Consider the following 16,119-nt stretch of genomic DNA (forward strand, 5'->3'; position numbering starts at 1 on the left):
CATACAAATATTTCCAAAGTCTGGCTGTTATAATCTGTTTAGATTTCTAACTTCTGGATTCAATAGAGATTACAGATTGTTTTAAGGATCCAAGGGGACTCAGAACTTTAAGTCTAGATTCCCAGCTCTCAGCAATGGAGAAAAACTTTCTTCATATTTTTCTTTGTGAAACAAAGAGGTTTTAATGAAGTAAAATCAGCTAGTTGAGTCAGACAACATTAGTACCTGAAAACTCCATGCAAGAAAAGATTTTATATCCCTTAGCAGGGAAAGGTTAGCAAAAGAAAAGATTTTGGGCAGGGCGCAGTGGCTCATGCCTATAATCCCAGCACTTTGGGAGGCCAAGGTGGACAGTTCACCTGAGGTCGGGAGTTCGAGACCAGCCTGACCAACATGGAGAAACGCTGTCTCTACTAAAAATACAGAATTAGCCGGGCGTGGTGGCGCATGCCTGTAATCCCAGCTACTCGGGAGGCTGAGGCAGGAGAATTGCTTGAACCCGGGAGGCAGAGGTTGCGGTGAGCCAAGATCGCACCATTGCACTCCAGCCTGCGCAACAACAGCAAAACTCCGTCTCAAAAAACAAAAAAAAAGGAAAGATTTTGGAAAGCAGCAACAGGGACATTCCTGTTATGTTCTCCATGTTCTCCTTCACTGAAGATTATAACAAGGACAGAAGTTCTTCATTTAAGCCATTCTGTGCCTTTTCTGCATTATCCACATTGTAGTTTGCAGGTTGCTGGGTAATTAGGGCCAAAGCATAATGTAGAGATCCCCAAGCTTGGGTCCCTGTCTGATGATCCTCAAACCATAACTCAAGATCCTTGGGGATGGCCAGCTACAGTCACAGATCACCGTTTCCAGCAGGTACTATCAAGAAACTGGAAGTTGAGGCTCTATATTGCCAACAGTGAATTTGCTGTGCTTCTACCAACTTTCAGTAGCTTCAGAAAGAACTGCATATTATGAAACCTAGAGCCAGCAGGCAATAGATATTCAGGGTACATAAGTCTGTACATGTGTTAAGTTTTAAAATACAAAGCCATTATGTAGGTGACCTGACAGTTCAGTCTAAGTTCCATTTTGGATTTGAGCTGGAAAATGAAATGGGTGAGGCTTTATGTGAAACTTCCAGTGCAGATTTTGCAAAACTCTCCTATTTTGGAAAGGTTAAGACAGATTACAGTTGCATAGTAAAAGCCAGAAAAGAAAGAGAAAATAAACTTTGCTCCCTCCTGCTCCTGTTAGTCATTAATGTACCTGTTTTTCCTGTTCCAAGTGGTCTATGTCAGCTAACGGCAGCATAGAAGGTCTCCCGTGAGCACACTGGAATGGCAGCTGGCATGAGGACAGAGCTTCAATAAGGCGGCAACTTTCCTGTAAGCTCAGGCCATCATTAAACTTAATGGCCCCTAAATGAAAGACAGAAACAAGAAGGTTATAGTGTATATAGTGGGAAACCAATGCTGACCTTGGGTCACTGCCAAATATCTGGAAAAAGTAACATGTTTCTTAGGCTTCTTTAATGAAGCTTTAATCCTGCTTGAAATTGGTGCTTATAGGCCGGGCATGGTGTCTCACACCTGTAATCCCAGCACTTTGGGAGGCTGAGGCGGGCAGATCATGAGGTCAGGAGTTCAAGACCAGCCTGGCCAATATGGTGAAATCCCGCCTCTACTAAAAATACAAAAATTAGCCGGGTGTGGTGGCACGCGCCTATAGTCCCAGCTACTTGGGAGGCTGAGGCAGAAGAATCACTTGAACCCAGGAGGCGGGGGTTGCAGTGAGCCGAGATCACGCCACTGCACTCCAGCCTGGGCAACAAAGCGAGACTCCGTTCTCAAAAAAAAAAAAAAAAAAAAAAAAAGAGGGAAATAAATTAGTGCTTATGACCATGGATGAAACTAAGGCTTCAGGACTGACCTTCTGTCTCTCAGCTTTTTCTTACGGAGTATTTGTATTTCTAATCTCTGTAGGAGGCATTCCTTAACTTGTTAGGATCTGGCTTTCAGAGTTTTTCTCCAAGAGGCAAGAGCAGTATTTTTGCCTACTCTTTATGGGTTTGTGAAGTTGGGGTTATCTTTCTCCATGGATCGTCCAATAGCAATCTCTGATTGTTTCCTTACAATGTTCATTTTATTTGCTTCTTTTTTTCTAATTTCCATAATAATCTTCCTAATCTAAACTCTCATATTGTTATAACCTGCCTTTATGCACAATTTACCCAGTCAACAAATATTTATTAAGTATATACTTTGTATTGGGAGCTTTGTCAGGCAGTTAGTGAGACAGATAATTTCCATCCTCATGGCGCTTATGGTCTAATAGGGGAGACAAACATGAAGCAGATAATTATACAATAATTTAAATGATAAATATAGGTGCTATAAAATACAGGATATGAATATATAATAGGAAGACCAAACCCAGTTTAGGAGCTTAAGGAAGGCTTTCCTGGCAAAGTAGTATTCAAGCTGAGACTTTAGGTTAAGAAAGACGTGGCTAATTGAAGAAGGAGAGAAAAGTGTTTCAGGTAGAGGAGAAGGCCAGTGCAGAGGCCCCGACGCTGACAAATGTTTAGCACACAGGAAGCAGAAGACCAAAAAAGCAGGCTGGGATGTAAAGAACAAGGTGGAGAGTGATATGACGTGACACTGGAGAGGCAGGCAGGGGCCAAATCACGAAGACCCTTGTGGGCCACAGTAAAAAATCACATTTCTATCCCAAGAGCAATGGGTCATCATTGACACATTTTAGTTAGAAGAACAACATGCTTGGAGGGATGTTTCAAAAAGATTCCTCTGGGTGCTGAGAGAAGAGCAGCTTGAAAGGGAGCCAGAGTGGATGTGAAGAACTAAGTAAGAGAGCTCAACAGTGGCAAAAATGAGGGAGGAGCCAGACAGACTGAATCAGACGGACCGAAGATACATTTTGAAGGTGGCAATGATGACATTTGGTGATAGAGGAGTATGAGTCTGTTCTCACACTGCCATGAAGAAATGACCAAGACTCGGTCATTTATAAAGGAAAGACCATTTAAATGACTCACAGTTCTGCATGGCTGGGGAGGCCTCAGAAAACTTACAATTATGGCGGAAGGTGAAGGAGAAGCAGGCACCTTCCTCACAGGGCCTCACCCAGCTCCCCATTTTCTATATTGTATCATATTACCCTGCTCAAGAACCCTCAATGGTGTTCGCTTTGGCAGCACATATAATAAAATTGGAGTGATACGGAGAAGATTAGCATGGTCCGTGCACAAGGATGACATGCAAATTCATGAAGCATTCCATCTTCATTATTATTATTATTATTATTATTATTTTGAGATGGAGTCTCACTCTGTCACCCAGGCTGGAGTGCAGTGGCGTGATATTGGCTCACTGCAACCTCTACCTCCTGGTTTCAAGTGATTCTCCTGCCTCAGCCTCCTGAGTAGCTGGGATTACAGGTGCCCGCCACCACGCCTGGCTAATTTTTATGTTTTTAGTAGAGATGGGGTTTCACCATGTTGGCCAGGCTGGTCTCGAACTCCTGACCTCAGGTGATCCATCCGCCTTGGTCTCCCAAAGTGCTGGGATTACAGGCGTAAGCAACCGCGCCTGGGCGCATTCCATCTTTTTACAAAAACCCTAGAAGAAAACCTCAGAAATACCATTCTGGACGTAGGCCTTGGCAAAGATTTCCTGGTAAAGACTCTAAAAGCAACTGCAATAAAACGAAAATTGACAAGTGAGACTTAATTAAACTAAAGAGCTTCTCCACAGCAAAAGAAACTATCAACAGAATAGACGGACAACTTACAGAATGGGAGAAAATATTTGCAAACTGCATCCAACAGAGGTCTAATATCCAGAATCTATATAAGGAACTAATATCCAGAATCTATAAGGAACTTAAATAAATTAACAAGCAAAAACCAAAAAACCCTATTAAAAAATGGGCAAAGGACATGAACACACACTTCTCAAAAGAAGACATACACATGGCCAACAAGCATATAAAAAATGTTCAATGTCACTAATCATTAGAGAAATGCAAATCAAAATCACAGTGACATACCATCTCACACCAGTCAGAATGGCTGGTATTAAAAAGTTAAAAAATAACAGATGCTGGTGAGGCTGCAAAGAAAACAGAACACTTATACACTGCTGGTGGGAAATATAAATTAGTTCAGCCACTGTGGAAAACAGTTTAGAGATTTCTTAAAGAACTTAAAGCAAAACTACCATTCAACCCAGTAATCCTATTACTGGGAATATGCCCAAAGAAACAGAAATCATTCTACCATAAAGACACATGCATGTGTTATGCTCACTGCAGCACTATTTACAATAGCAAAGACATGGAATCAACCTCAATGCTCATCAATGGTGGATTGGATAAAGAAAATGTGGTACATATACATCATGGAATACTATGTCGCCATAAAAAAGAACGAGATCACATCCTTTGCAAAAACATAGAGCTAGAGGCCATCATCCTAAGTGAATTAGAAAACCAAATACTGCATGTTCTTACTTAAAAGTGGGAGCCAAACATTGAATACACATAGAAACAAAGAAGGGGTAACAGACACCTGGGCCTACTTGAGGGTGGAGGGTGGGAGGTGGGTGAGGATCAGAACTACCTATTGGGTACTATGCTCATTACCTGGGTGACAAAATAATCTGTACACCAAACCCCTGCGACATGCAACTCACCCATGTTACAAAGTGCACATGTACCCCCTGAACCTAAAATGAAAGTTGGAAAGATAAAAAAAGAACGCTTGCTAATTCTAATGCCTTCTGTATCAAATCCAAAGGTTTTGCTGTGACCTTCTAGGTTTCTGTTCTCTTACCTGCCTAGTTTCTTGATACTCTTTGCTGCTTCTCATATAACTAACTTGTTTCTGTTCTGCCTCTCTGCACAGGCTGTTTACTCTCCCTATAGTGAATTCCCCTTTCCATGCTATGAACCCATGTTCCCCAGCTCATTCAAAATTCATCTCAAAATGCATCTCCTCTAGGAGTTATTCCTCCACTCATATAGGTCAGGCAGCACTATAGTCAAATTTTTGTGTTGGGATTTTGTTTTTGTAAAAGTGATTTTTAAAAGGGTATATTCAGTTTCTTGATCTAAATTGTATTCTCCAAGAGTCAAGTAGTAAATGTACCCTCTGCCTCTTTTGTAATCCCGGCAGCCCTGCCAGGGCTCTGCATGCAGAGGTGTTTGATCACTGCTATGTTGAAGGGCTTACCATGGCAGGCTTGGGATGCCAACACCTTCTGGACAGTCAGTGGCAATGTCCCTTGGATGCCTCCGGTGGTCTGGAGTAGCTAATGCATAAACACGTTATTAACAGGAAAAGAAAACGGAACAACGAAGCCTTTTATGTGTGGTGCTTCTGTGTGAAACCCCAAAATAAAGGAAAAGCTTACCTCCAGTTGTTCTCGGATAAATTCCTGCAAAGCAAAAGGAAAATCGGCTTTAATCTACGGTTATGTTTTACTTGCCCTTTGATAGTTTACAAAATATCTCAATTTTCTTCTTTAAATCATGCCTCCTGAAAGAAAGAGTTCCAGCAATACAGCACTTGGGTACAAATTTATTTGTTGTAAGGCACTTTGAATATGAAAAAACCAAGCAACTGAATAGAACTCTTATTGAACACAGAATATATTTAGCTACTGAGACTTCCTCCAGAGATAGCTTCTCAACTAATGAGGTTATGTAGCTGGTGAGAGTAGCCTTGATGATTCAACCAATTCAAAACATCAGGAAGGCTTCTCACTAAAAGGCTGTCTGTTTGTGTGTGTAATCTTAGCCAGAACAAGCGTAATATTACACACAAACTGAGAATAAATACACAACAACCATCAACACAACCACTGCTCAGTATAACACTTGCTTAAATATCATAAACATAAGTAAACAGTCACTTTAGTTCCCACGGGCTTTTTGGGGACAATTCCCTTCAGGTCAGAAAGTTTATTTTCTGAGGCCCTTTGTTGAGAAATTTCTCCTCCCTTGCATGTCTCTGTCCCTGGGGTAACCTTTTCAATAGTTATATCCCTGTGGATATTAATATTTACAAAAGAAGCTTAAAGAAATTTAAAGCAGACACTATTTCATGCTACCAATTTGTTTAACCTCTGGAGGTAAAAAGAAAAAAACCTGTTGCACATTTAATGATTTCTTTATAAGAAAATCATTTCTTTACTCCTGGAAAAGGCTATGTGTAAATCTGCTCCTAAGATTACAACATGGTACCTTTTCTTTTAAAACCAGACTCAGGAAATTCTCTTCCCTCCTTCATCTATACTCTAGTCTGCCATGCCTATAAATGGGCACAGTTATCAAGAGCTAGGTAGTAGATACTATATTACATATAATTTAAAAATCACATGTTTTCCCAAACAAACCTAAACAGAAAGATGGTCTCATAAGACTCAATCCACTGACAAAGCTTAGTGTGGATGGAGAGCAAACATTCTTGTGTTTGTACATCTGGGATGGTAAAACATCTGTTTGTAAGCTTAGTGAAGGGGTGATGGGTCTCATCTCAGTCCATTTTATATTCCAATGGTCTGTTTAATGCTGGATAATTTAATATTTTTATTTTATTTTTTATTTATTTATTTAGTTAGTTAGTTACTTATTTTGAGATGGAGTTTCACTCTTGTTGCCCAGGCTGGAGTGCAATGGCACGATCTTGGCTCACCGCAACCTCTGCCTTCTGGGTTCAAGCGATTCTCCTGCCTCAGCCTCCTGAGTAGCTGGGATTACAATCATGCACCACCACGCCTGGCTAATTTTGTATCTTTAGTAGAGACAGGGTTTCTCCATGTTGGTCAGGCTGGTCTCGAACTCCCGACCTCAGATGATCCGCCTGCCTCGGCCTCCCAAAGTGCTGGGATTACAGTTGTGAGCCACTGCACCTGGCCGTATTTATTTATTATTTTTAATTTTTTGAGACGTAGTCTCGTTGTTGCCCAGGCTGGAGTGCCATGGCGCGATCTCAGCTCACTGCAGCCTCCACCTCCTCACCAGGCTAGAAGATAGAGCTTTATAGAAGGATGTATTAATGATCTTTCAACTGCTAGGATTCAAATAGCTACCTCCTCAAAACACCAAAACTGTTCCAGCTTCTTCCAGAATCACACAAAGTCTCTCCTGATCAGCCTGACATAGGATAATCAAGATTTTATGAAACCAGAGGTTTGTTTCCATTTGAAGCAAACTCCTTAACAGTAGTCTTTTAAGTTCCTTCAGGAAAAGTTTTTCTTATAATTTTCTGGTTACATATTAGGGATTGAATTACAATAAAAGACTCTAACAGATCCTATCTTTTGGATTTAGGACAATTTGGAGCAGGGGTCTTAGAGAAAGCATGTCTGTGGGGAGGAAAGAGCTTTGCTGGAAGCAGAGCAAATCTTTGGATCTGTCTGATCCAAAGGCGATTCTGGAAAGGGCAAAGCCAAGATGACCCAAGAGCTGACTGACAGCTGCTCTTCCTCTTGAATGTTTCCCCCTTGGCCTGCAAACCTGCTTACGTCTTTTTTGTCTTAAAGCAAACAAACACCTTTCCTCAGCCTTGAATCCCACCCCACACTTCCCAACCACTTCTAACCTTTAGCTCTCACCCCATCTCTCTTCTTCTGTGTGTAGCCAAAGTTCCTGAAAGAGTTGTCTACTTAGCTTCACTTCCTCCTGCTTCACGCACTCCTGACTCACTGCACTCTTATCTTCTGCCCCACCTCATCCCCAGGAAATGATTCCACAAGACAACTAATGTCCTCATGACAGTCAAGTCCAGCGTTTCAGGCTCTACTTCATAGCCGTTATTGACCATTCCCTCCTTGCTTAAAACTTTCCTTAGTTTTGGCAATATTGCTTTTTCCTGGTTTTCCTCCTCCCTCTCTAACCAAGTATTTTCAGCCATCCTTAGAATTTCCTCTTTTCAGCAGAGCTTTCCAGACCTTTTCCAAAGCATACGCACCCTGGATGCTGATGTTCCACAGGCTCCACTCTTTTGTCTCTTCCTTTTCACTCTCCATATTCTCCCTGGACAACCTCACTTCCTCAAGGCCCTTCTCCAGCTTCTGATACTATCAATATATATATACTGTTAACTCTCAGATAGATATGTACAGCCCAGATTTATTTTCCAAGTACCAGATCTTTTAAGTGTGCCTATCCACTGGGCATTCCACCTGCAGGCACATTCACTGTGTCTAAACCCACCTTCACGATGGAACTCCTAGGCAGGTTTGTTCCTCCTCATCTGTGTCCCTTCTCTGTCAATGGCACCACCATCCTTCCAGCCATCCATGCTACAACCCTCAGAATCACTGTTGCTTTTGTTTTCTCCTTTATTCCTTTCACGTTTGATTGCTCACCAAGTCCTCTTGCTTCTGCCTCCCAAATTCTGTCTCAGATATGTCACTCCTCTCTACTCCCTCTGCTACTGACTCAGTCCAATCCTCATCTTCTCTTACCTTAACCACTGCAATAACCCGTCAGCTGCTCTCCCTGACTCAAATCTTCCCACATAAATCCATCCCCCAATTTATCTACTACATCTATCCTCTAATTTTAGATTTTACTATTTTAGATATTACTAAAGCACTTCAGACTTCTAGATGAGGTGGGTGTGGATTTGCCTGTGCTCCAAATCAAGAAAGCTACTGATAAAGGAGAAGGAACAATCATGAAAAAAGCAGGACACCATAAAAAAGGAAGAGTGAGATTTGGGGAAAAAAACACAACTTCTGGAAATAAAAAATATAGCCATTGAAATAAAAAATTTAGTCACTGAAATAAAAAACTCAGTGGATAAGCTAAACACATAATTAAACAGAAGATGAAGAGATACTTTAGTTCACTGGAAGATAAGTGAGGAGATTTCACAGAATGTATCACAGAGAGAAAGCAATGGGAAATATGGAAGAGAGTTGAAGAGGCATGCAGAGTAGAAAGATAAGGCCCAGTAGATATCTGACAAAATTTCCAAGAGACAAGAGAGAGAATGGGAAAGAAACGTTTGAGGTGATAATGACTGCATACTTTCCAAACTGAAGAAGCATAGTGAATCTCCAGAAGGAAATGAAAATAAATCCATACAAAGATACATCATAGGGAAATTGCAGAACACCAAAGACAAAGTGAACCATCGTAAAAGCAACCAGAGGGAAAATCAGATTACCTACAGAGTAATAATTGGATTGACTAAGGACTTCAATGGCTAAAACAGAAAGTCAGGCTGGGTGCAGTGGCTCACACCTGTAATCCCAGCACTTTGGGAGGCCACGGCAGGCAGATCACCTGAGGTCAGGAGTTTGAGACCAGCCTGGCCAACATGGTGAAACCCCATCTCTGCTAAAGATACAAAAATTAGCTGGGTGTGGTGGTGGGCACCTGTAATCCCAGCTACTTTGTAGGCTTAGGCAGGAGAATCGCTTGAACCTGGGAGGCGGAGGTTGCAGTGAGCTGAGATCATCCCATTGCACTCCAGCCTGGGTAACAGAGTGAGACTCTGTCTCAAAAAATGAAATAAAATAAAATAAAATAGAAAGTCAAAAGTAGTGAAATATTTTCAAAATGCGGGGGGGATAACTGGCAATGTGAAATTCTGTTTTTAGCTAGATAATCATGCAAGTATGAAGACAAAATAAAGATACTTTAAAAGACAGCTTATCATTCACGGACTTTTTTTTTTTTGAGACAGAGTTTCACTCTTGTCACCCAGGCTGGGGTGCAATGGCGTGATCTCAGCTCATTGCAACTTCCGCCTCCCGGGTTCAAGTGATTCTCCTGCCTCAGCCTCCCGAGTAGCTGGAATTACAAGTACCTGCCACCATGCCCAGCTAATTTTTGTATTTTTGGTAGAGACAGGGTTTCACCACGTTGGCCAGGCTGGTCTCAAAACTCCTGACCTCAGGTGATCTGCCCGCCTTGGCCTCCCAAAGTGCTGGGATTACAGGCATGAGCCACCATGCCTGGCCCACGGACTCTTACTAAAATAACTTCTATTTATTTTTATATTTTTGTATTTTTTGTCTCAAGATCTGTTTGTGGATAAAAGATCTTGTAAGAGATTTACTTCAGTAAAAAAAAAAAAAAAAAAAAAAAAAAAAAACCCAAAAGAACACAGAATAAGTAGGATGCAAGAGGCAATGGTGAACAAAGACTCTGGTGAACACTTTTTTTAATCTAAATAAAGATTGACTATAAAATAAATGACCACCAGGGAATTAAAAACAAGGTGGAATTAAAGTACTAGACAGCAACATGGAAGATGGGAGGAGGGTGATGGGAGATGAACAGTTTGTAAGATTTTGGTACAGTTAGGAAGAGGATAGAGAAGTGAATTACTTTTAAACTTTGATAAGTATGCATGCTAAAAGTTAAGGCTAATCTCTAAAAGGATATAAATGGAATATATAACTTCTAAACGAGTAGAGCAAAAAAAAAAAGAGAAATACAGAAAACTATAATAGAAAACAGGAAAGGAGAGGAAAAAGACAATAAAGACAAAATAAATGATATTTGCTATAAAAAAAGAAACATATAAGTAATCAAAATAAAAAGTAATAGTTCTCTCTAATACCTCCAATGCCACAGCCCAGCAGTAGCTTTCCAAACCTTTACCAAAACATATATGTAAAGTAATCATATTTGGAATGCAATCTAAAATGGACCTTACTCTCCTGCTTAAAAGTTTTCACTGGCTGCCTATAGGATAAAATGCAAACTACTTAGTAGAATATGCTAAATTATTTTATGATTTGACCTTGACAACCCATCTAGCCAACTCCCATCCAGTCAAAGATCCAAGTATAACTTCTGATTTCCCCCCAATTTTTTTTTTTTTTTTTTTGAGACGGAGTCTTACTGTGTCACTCAGGCTGGAGTGCAGTGCAGTGATCTTGGATCACTGCAACCTCCACCTTCCGGGTTCAAGCAATTCTCATGCCTCAGCCTCCCAAGTAGCTGGGATTACAGGCACATACCATCATGCCTGGCTAATTTTTTAATTTTTAGTAGAGACGGGGTCTCATCATGTTGGCCAGGCTGGTCTTGAACTCCAGACCTCAAATGATCCGCCCGCCTTGGCCTCCCAAAATGCTGGGATTACAGGCGTGAGCCACTGCACCTGGCCTGATTTCCCCAAATCTTAACTACCAATAGCCTAACGTTGATCAGAAGCATTACCAATAATATAAACAGTTGATTAACACATATTTTGTGTGTTGTATATATTACACACTGTATTCTTACAATTAAGTAAGCTAGAGAAAAGAAAATGTTGGCCAGGCGTAGTGGCTCATGCCTGTAATCCCAGCACTTTGGGAGGCCAAGGCAGGTGGATCATTTGAGGTCAGGAGTTCAATACCAGCTTGGCCAACATGGTGAGACCCCATCTCTACTAAAAATACAAAAATTAGCCGGGGCATGGTGGTGTGCGCCTGTAATCCCAGCTACTTGGGAGGCTGAGGTAGGAGAATCGCTTTAACCCGGGAGGTGGAGGTTGCAGTGAGCTGAGATTGTGCCATTGCACTCCAGCCTGGGCATCGCAAAAAAAAAAAAAAAAGAAAGAAAGAAAGAAAGAAAGAAAAAGAAAATGTTAAGAAAATCATAAGAAACAGAAAATATATTTATTATTCATTAAGTGGAAATGAATCATCATAAAGGTCTTCACCCTCATCATTTTCACATTGAATAGGCTAAGGAGGAGGAAGAAGAGGAAAGGTTGGTCTTGCTGTCTCAGGAATGGCAGAGGTGAAAGAAAATCTGCATTTAAGTGTACCTGCGCAGTTCAGACCCAAGTTATCCAAGGATCAACTGTAGATCTTAATTTGAGCCATATCTATTGATAGTTCCCTAAACATAGGATGTATCTCAAGTCTCTGATATGTATTCCTCTGTCTAGAATGCCCTTCTCCCCTCTTCTGTACTCAGCACTTTCCCACTATTCTTTTTTTCTTTTTTTTTTTGAGACAGAGTTTCACTCTTGTTGCCCAGGCTGGAGTACAATGGTGCAATCTTGGCTCAATGCAACCTCCGCCTCCCAGGTTCAAGCCATTCTCCTGCCTCAGCCTCCTGAGTAGCTGGGATTATAGGCATGCACCACCACGCCCGGCTAATTTTCTATTTTTAGTAGAGATGGGGTTTTTCCATGCTTGTCAGGCTGGTCTCGAACTCCCGACCTCAGGTGAACCACCCACCACGGCCTCCCAAAGTGCTGGCATTACAGGTGTGAGCCACCTTGCCCAGCCTAGTTTCCCACTATTCTGTAAGACTTTTCTGGCTGTGTGCAGTGGCTCATGCCTGTAGTGCCGGGGGTTTGGGAAGCCAATGCAAGGGGATTGCTTGAGGCCAGAAGTTCAGGACCAGCCTGGGCAACATAGTGAGGCCCCCATCTCTACAAAAAAAAAAAAGGAAAAAATTAGCCAGGCATGGTGGTGCGTGTCTGTAGTCCGAGTTACTTGGGAGGCTGAGGCAGGAAGATTGCTTGTGCCCAGGAGATCAAGGCTACAGTGAGCTATGATTGCACCACTGCACTCCAGCTTGGGCAACAGAGTGAGACCTGGTCTCTCAAAAGTAAAAACTTTTCTTAAGAAAACAGCTTTTCTGTGACATTTTCATTGACTTCACCTCCCCAGGCACACAAGTCATTCTGTGTTTCCATAACACTTCTGAAAAACTATCTTGGTGCATTCTAGACTCTTAGTTTTCATTACCTTTATCACTGGGAAGAAAGCAAAACACATACCTCTACTAGCCAAAGTTCACTGACTATAATTCTTTAAATGCCCTTCTTCCTTATTTTGAGCTAACTCATCTCTGAATTTCTAGCTCCTGGCACACCGCAGGTAAATACCATGAATACTTGTTGAAGAAAAGATGAATTCAGAGAATCTACAGACAAAATATGAGGTTACCATCACTCAGCAATTTCCTTAACATCTGCAGCTGTGTCTTACCTCCACAATACTCTTGGTCACAGTAGATCTTCCTCTCCGAAGTTCATTGGCTTCTCTTTCCACAAAACATAGTGGTACTTTTCCCACAAGGACCAGAGAATCACTAGTGTCTGGAAATACAAATTCAAGGCCCAGATCTTCCAGATTTTTGTGGTAACACCTAAAGAGATAACCTCAAATGTTAAAAAAAAAAAGAGTGCTACTTCATTTGCACTTCACTACTGGTTCCAAATACTACTTAATAGTTTTTCAAAAGCTGCCACAGGGCTTAACAACCGTATTGTTTTTCTCACACTTATGTGTGGGTGTTTGGGATTTTTTATTATCAAATTTCCTTTTTGAATTACAGTAACCTTTATTGTTTTTCTCTTTTCCATTGGGAATCAATCTGTGTCTAAGTCTTGTTTCTAAGTGTGTTTTCTTCATTGAGGAACTGCTAACTTCTGGCTGCTGGCACTTAAGGGAGTCTGGCATGAAGAAAAGGTCTGAGAGTGATTTGAATCAGCATTAAAGCAGGGAGGTAATTAACAGCCCAAGGAATTGAGAAGTCCTGACTAACGGGATGTAAGTAAATAGATCTGCCTCTAATATAAATTATGTCATAGGGAAAAAAAGATTTACTGGCAGTATCATATTCCCAAACCTGAAACATATTGGGAGAAATTTCTTTTTCATTTTCAATAATTTGTGCTGCCTAGAAGAGGAAAAATATCCTATCTTGTGACTCACTATATGATTCGCCCCTTCCTTACATCCCAATGTTTTACTTTCTTCCCATTATGATTACGATAATGAAAACTAAGAGTCTAGAATGCACCAAAGCAAAGCAGAATGGGACCAATTACTGCAGAAACTTTGCTTTCACAAAGCATGGCATAAACACAGACTGTTCCAAGAAATGAGAAGAGTGTTCTAAGCCAACTGCTGGAAAAAATTATCAGGGAAACTCTATCCTATACTCTTCAGCTGGGATACAGTGGAAAGAATAGGCTGGGTCCAGTGGCTCACGCCTGTAATCCCAGCACTTTGGGAGGCCAAAGTGGGAGGATCGCTTGAGCCTAGGAGTTCAGACCAGCCTGGGTAACATGGCGAAAACCCATCTCTACCAAAAAATTACAAAAATTAGTCCAGCATGGTGGTGCTCACCTGTAGTTCCAGGTACTTGGGAGGCTGAAGTGGGAGGACTGCTTGAGCCTGGAAGGTGGAGGTTGCAGTGAGCAGAGATTGTGCCACTGCACTCCAGCCTGGACAACAGAGTGAGACCATGTCTCACAAAATAAATATTTTAATGGATGATTGGATGCAGAAAAAAATATATTTTAAAAAAGGAAACAAACAGCCTGTGGAGTCAGACGACCTGCCTTTGAGTGCCTGCTCCACTACTTAATAACTGCTATGACCTTAGACAAGTCTTGTAACCTCTCTTGGTCTCATCTGAGAAATGGAACAATAGTTATGCTTATTCCTCACAGAATTATTGTGAGAATTGATACCATCAACATCACATTCTCATGGTGGTACTGACCATAAGAGTCTCCTTTGTTCCTCTGTCACTGTTATCTCTAGCGGAGGAATTAGAGTAGAAGACAGTAATTTTTTCCGACCAGAGCCTTGTGCCTGTTGCTTCTCGTAGGAATCTATTGGCAGAAAGATGAATGGGTTAAGAGTAGGAAGGGAAGTCTTCTAGATTCAGATAAAAATAAAGCACGGCCTTGAGATAATCATTCTAATGCAAAGCAGAATGTTTAATGTTCAGTTTTAGATTTTGGATTTCCATTTTTAAAGTCAAACTAATAAATATTCAGCCTATTAACAATTTTGGTAGTATTTTTCAAAATAAGAAATATAAGACTTGCATCTTACATTCAGATGAACAAGCCAATGTTCCTGTAGTTAATAAATGTTGTTTTGATGACAGAGGTGAATAATGTGGATTACCAGGAACATATGTGGGTTGACCACACAGTCTTATGGCTCCAGAAGGCTTCCCTTTCCTTGAGCAGGGTCTCCCAGTCTCTGGAGAGAATTAGTACTATTCTCAAATGGTGCAGGGCCTGTAGAGGTAAGTTTTTCTAACACTGTTTTTACTATATCTTTCCCAACTCTTAGGCCGTCATTTTATAAGGAAAAGTGAAAACAGTAGTAATATCATTGCCATTCTAGTCCATGAAGCACTCCTTAGGTCCTTGCCTAACTCTTTGACATTACTCATTGGCCACAGGAGTAAAGACTTTCCTGGTATTTTACCACTTGGTGAACACACTGCCTCATGATGAGGAAAAGGGTAGCAAAAAAAAACATTTAAAAAGCATATATTGCTTTGGAAAGATAGATTTAAAAACCAGAGATATTGGTTGTCTCTGGGGAGAGAAACTAGGAGGGGTGGGGACAAGGATAGAAAGGAGACTTTATTATATTCCCTTTTGTGCCTTTCAGAATTGGATCTATTTGATTATACTGCATATTCAAAAGCAAACTAAATTTTAAAATCAAAACAGCATACTGGGCCTTCTGAGCTGCCACTGGTCTCTGCCTGATGGAGTGTGGGAAGGCATGCCAAGATCACCGGGCATATGGAGGGGCAGAGCTTTGTGCTGGATGTCAGAGTAAGCAGCCTATCCTTGCGTACTTCTGGGTTGTTAATAACATCTGGCAAATATGCCTCTGACCACATAAATAAGTTCACATCTTTCAATTAGTGAACTACCACATTCTTTCAATTATAACACAGGCCAAACTGCAGGACTTTAGTTTAATTTTTGAACATACAGTACAAAGTGTGCTTTCTCACAACAGTTGCAGTTAGAAAAGCTCTTTGAGGTGTACTGATTCTGCTGGGAGTCTCAAATTTTTTCTGGCTGCAAACAGATCCTTACCAATGATAAGCTGCTCCAGACGTATACGCTCATGGGCAGCGTGCTGATCCACCAGCACGAGCAGGTTCCCACCTAGATGAGCAAGGATTGTGAACTTTGATTCTCAGAGCAAGACGACAACCATCATGTGTGTTGAGGACAGAGAAGACTTAATTCAAACTATCTAACAACAGCATAAGACAAAACATTCTGAGGAGTAACAATTGTATCTTTTATTTCCTAAAACATGAAATTATGGGGAAAATGATAGCAAACTTATCCCATATGTT

General features: G+C 41.1%; 1 protein-coding gene and 1 pseudogene across 16 annotated transcripts in view; one reads left to right on the top strand and one right to left on the bottom strand.

Moving 5' to 3' along the window:
• MLH3 (mutL homolog 3) overlaps window positions 1-16,119 on the bottom strand; it is a 37,693-nt gene that overhangs the window by 3,794 nt on the left and 17,780 nt on the right. For 6 of the 16 annotated variants that reach the window (XR_007064004.1, XR_245681.5, XM_024449538.2 and 3 more), the window contains 6 exons: window positions 15,851-15,922; window positions 14,500-14,611; window positions 12,975-13,134; window positions 5,427-5,450; window positions 5,246-5,324; window positions 1,261-1,412 (listed from right to left, as the gene is read on the bottom strand). Coding sequence is in view for 12 of the 16 variants with exons in the window: in XM_024449538.2 (XP_024305306.1) it covers window positions 1,261-1,412; window positions 5,246-5,324; window positions 5,427-5,450; window positions 12,975-13,134; window positions 14,500-14,611; window positions 15,851-15,922 (599 nt within the window). In the remaining 4 variants the exon portion in view is untranslated. Of the gene's footprint in view, window positions 1-1,260; window positions 1,413-5,245; window positions 5,325-5,426; window positions 5,451-12,973; window positions 13,148-14,499; window positions 14,612-15,850; window positions 15,923-16,119 lie in introns of those variants that run through there. The other 10 variants (XR_007064005.1, XR_001750225.3, XM_047431265.1 and 7 more) reach the window with 5 other exon arrangements.
• RNU6-689P (RNA, U6 small nuclear 689, pseudogene) lies at window positions 3,193-3,299 on the top strand (annotated as a pseudogene).

Source organism: Homo sapiens, chromosome 14 (assembly GCF_000001405.40).
Source record: "Homo sapiens chromosome 14, GRCh38.p14 Primary Assembly".
NCBI lineage: Eukaryota > Metazoa > Chordata > Mammalia > Primates > Hominidae > Homo > Homo sapiens.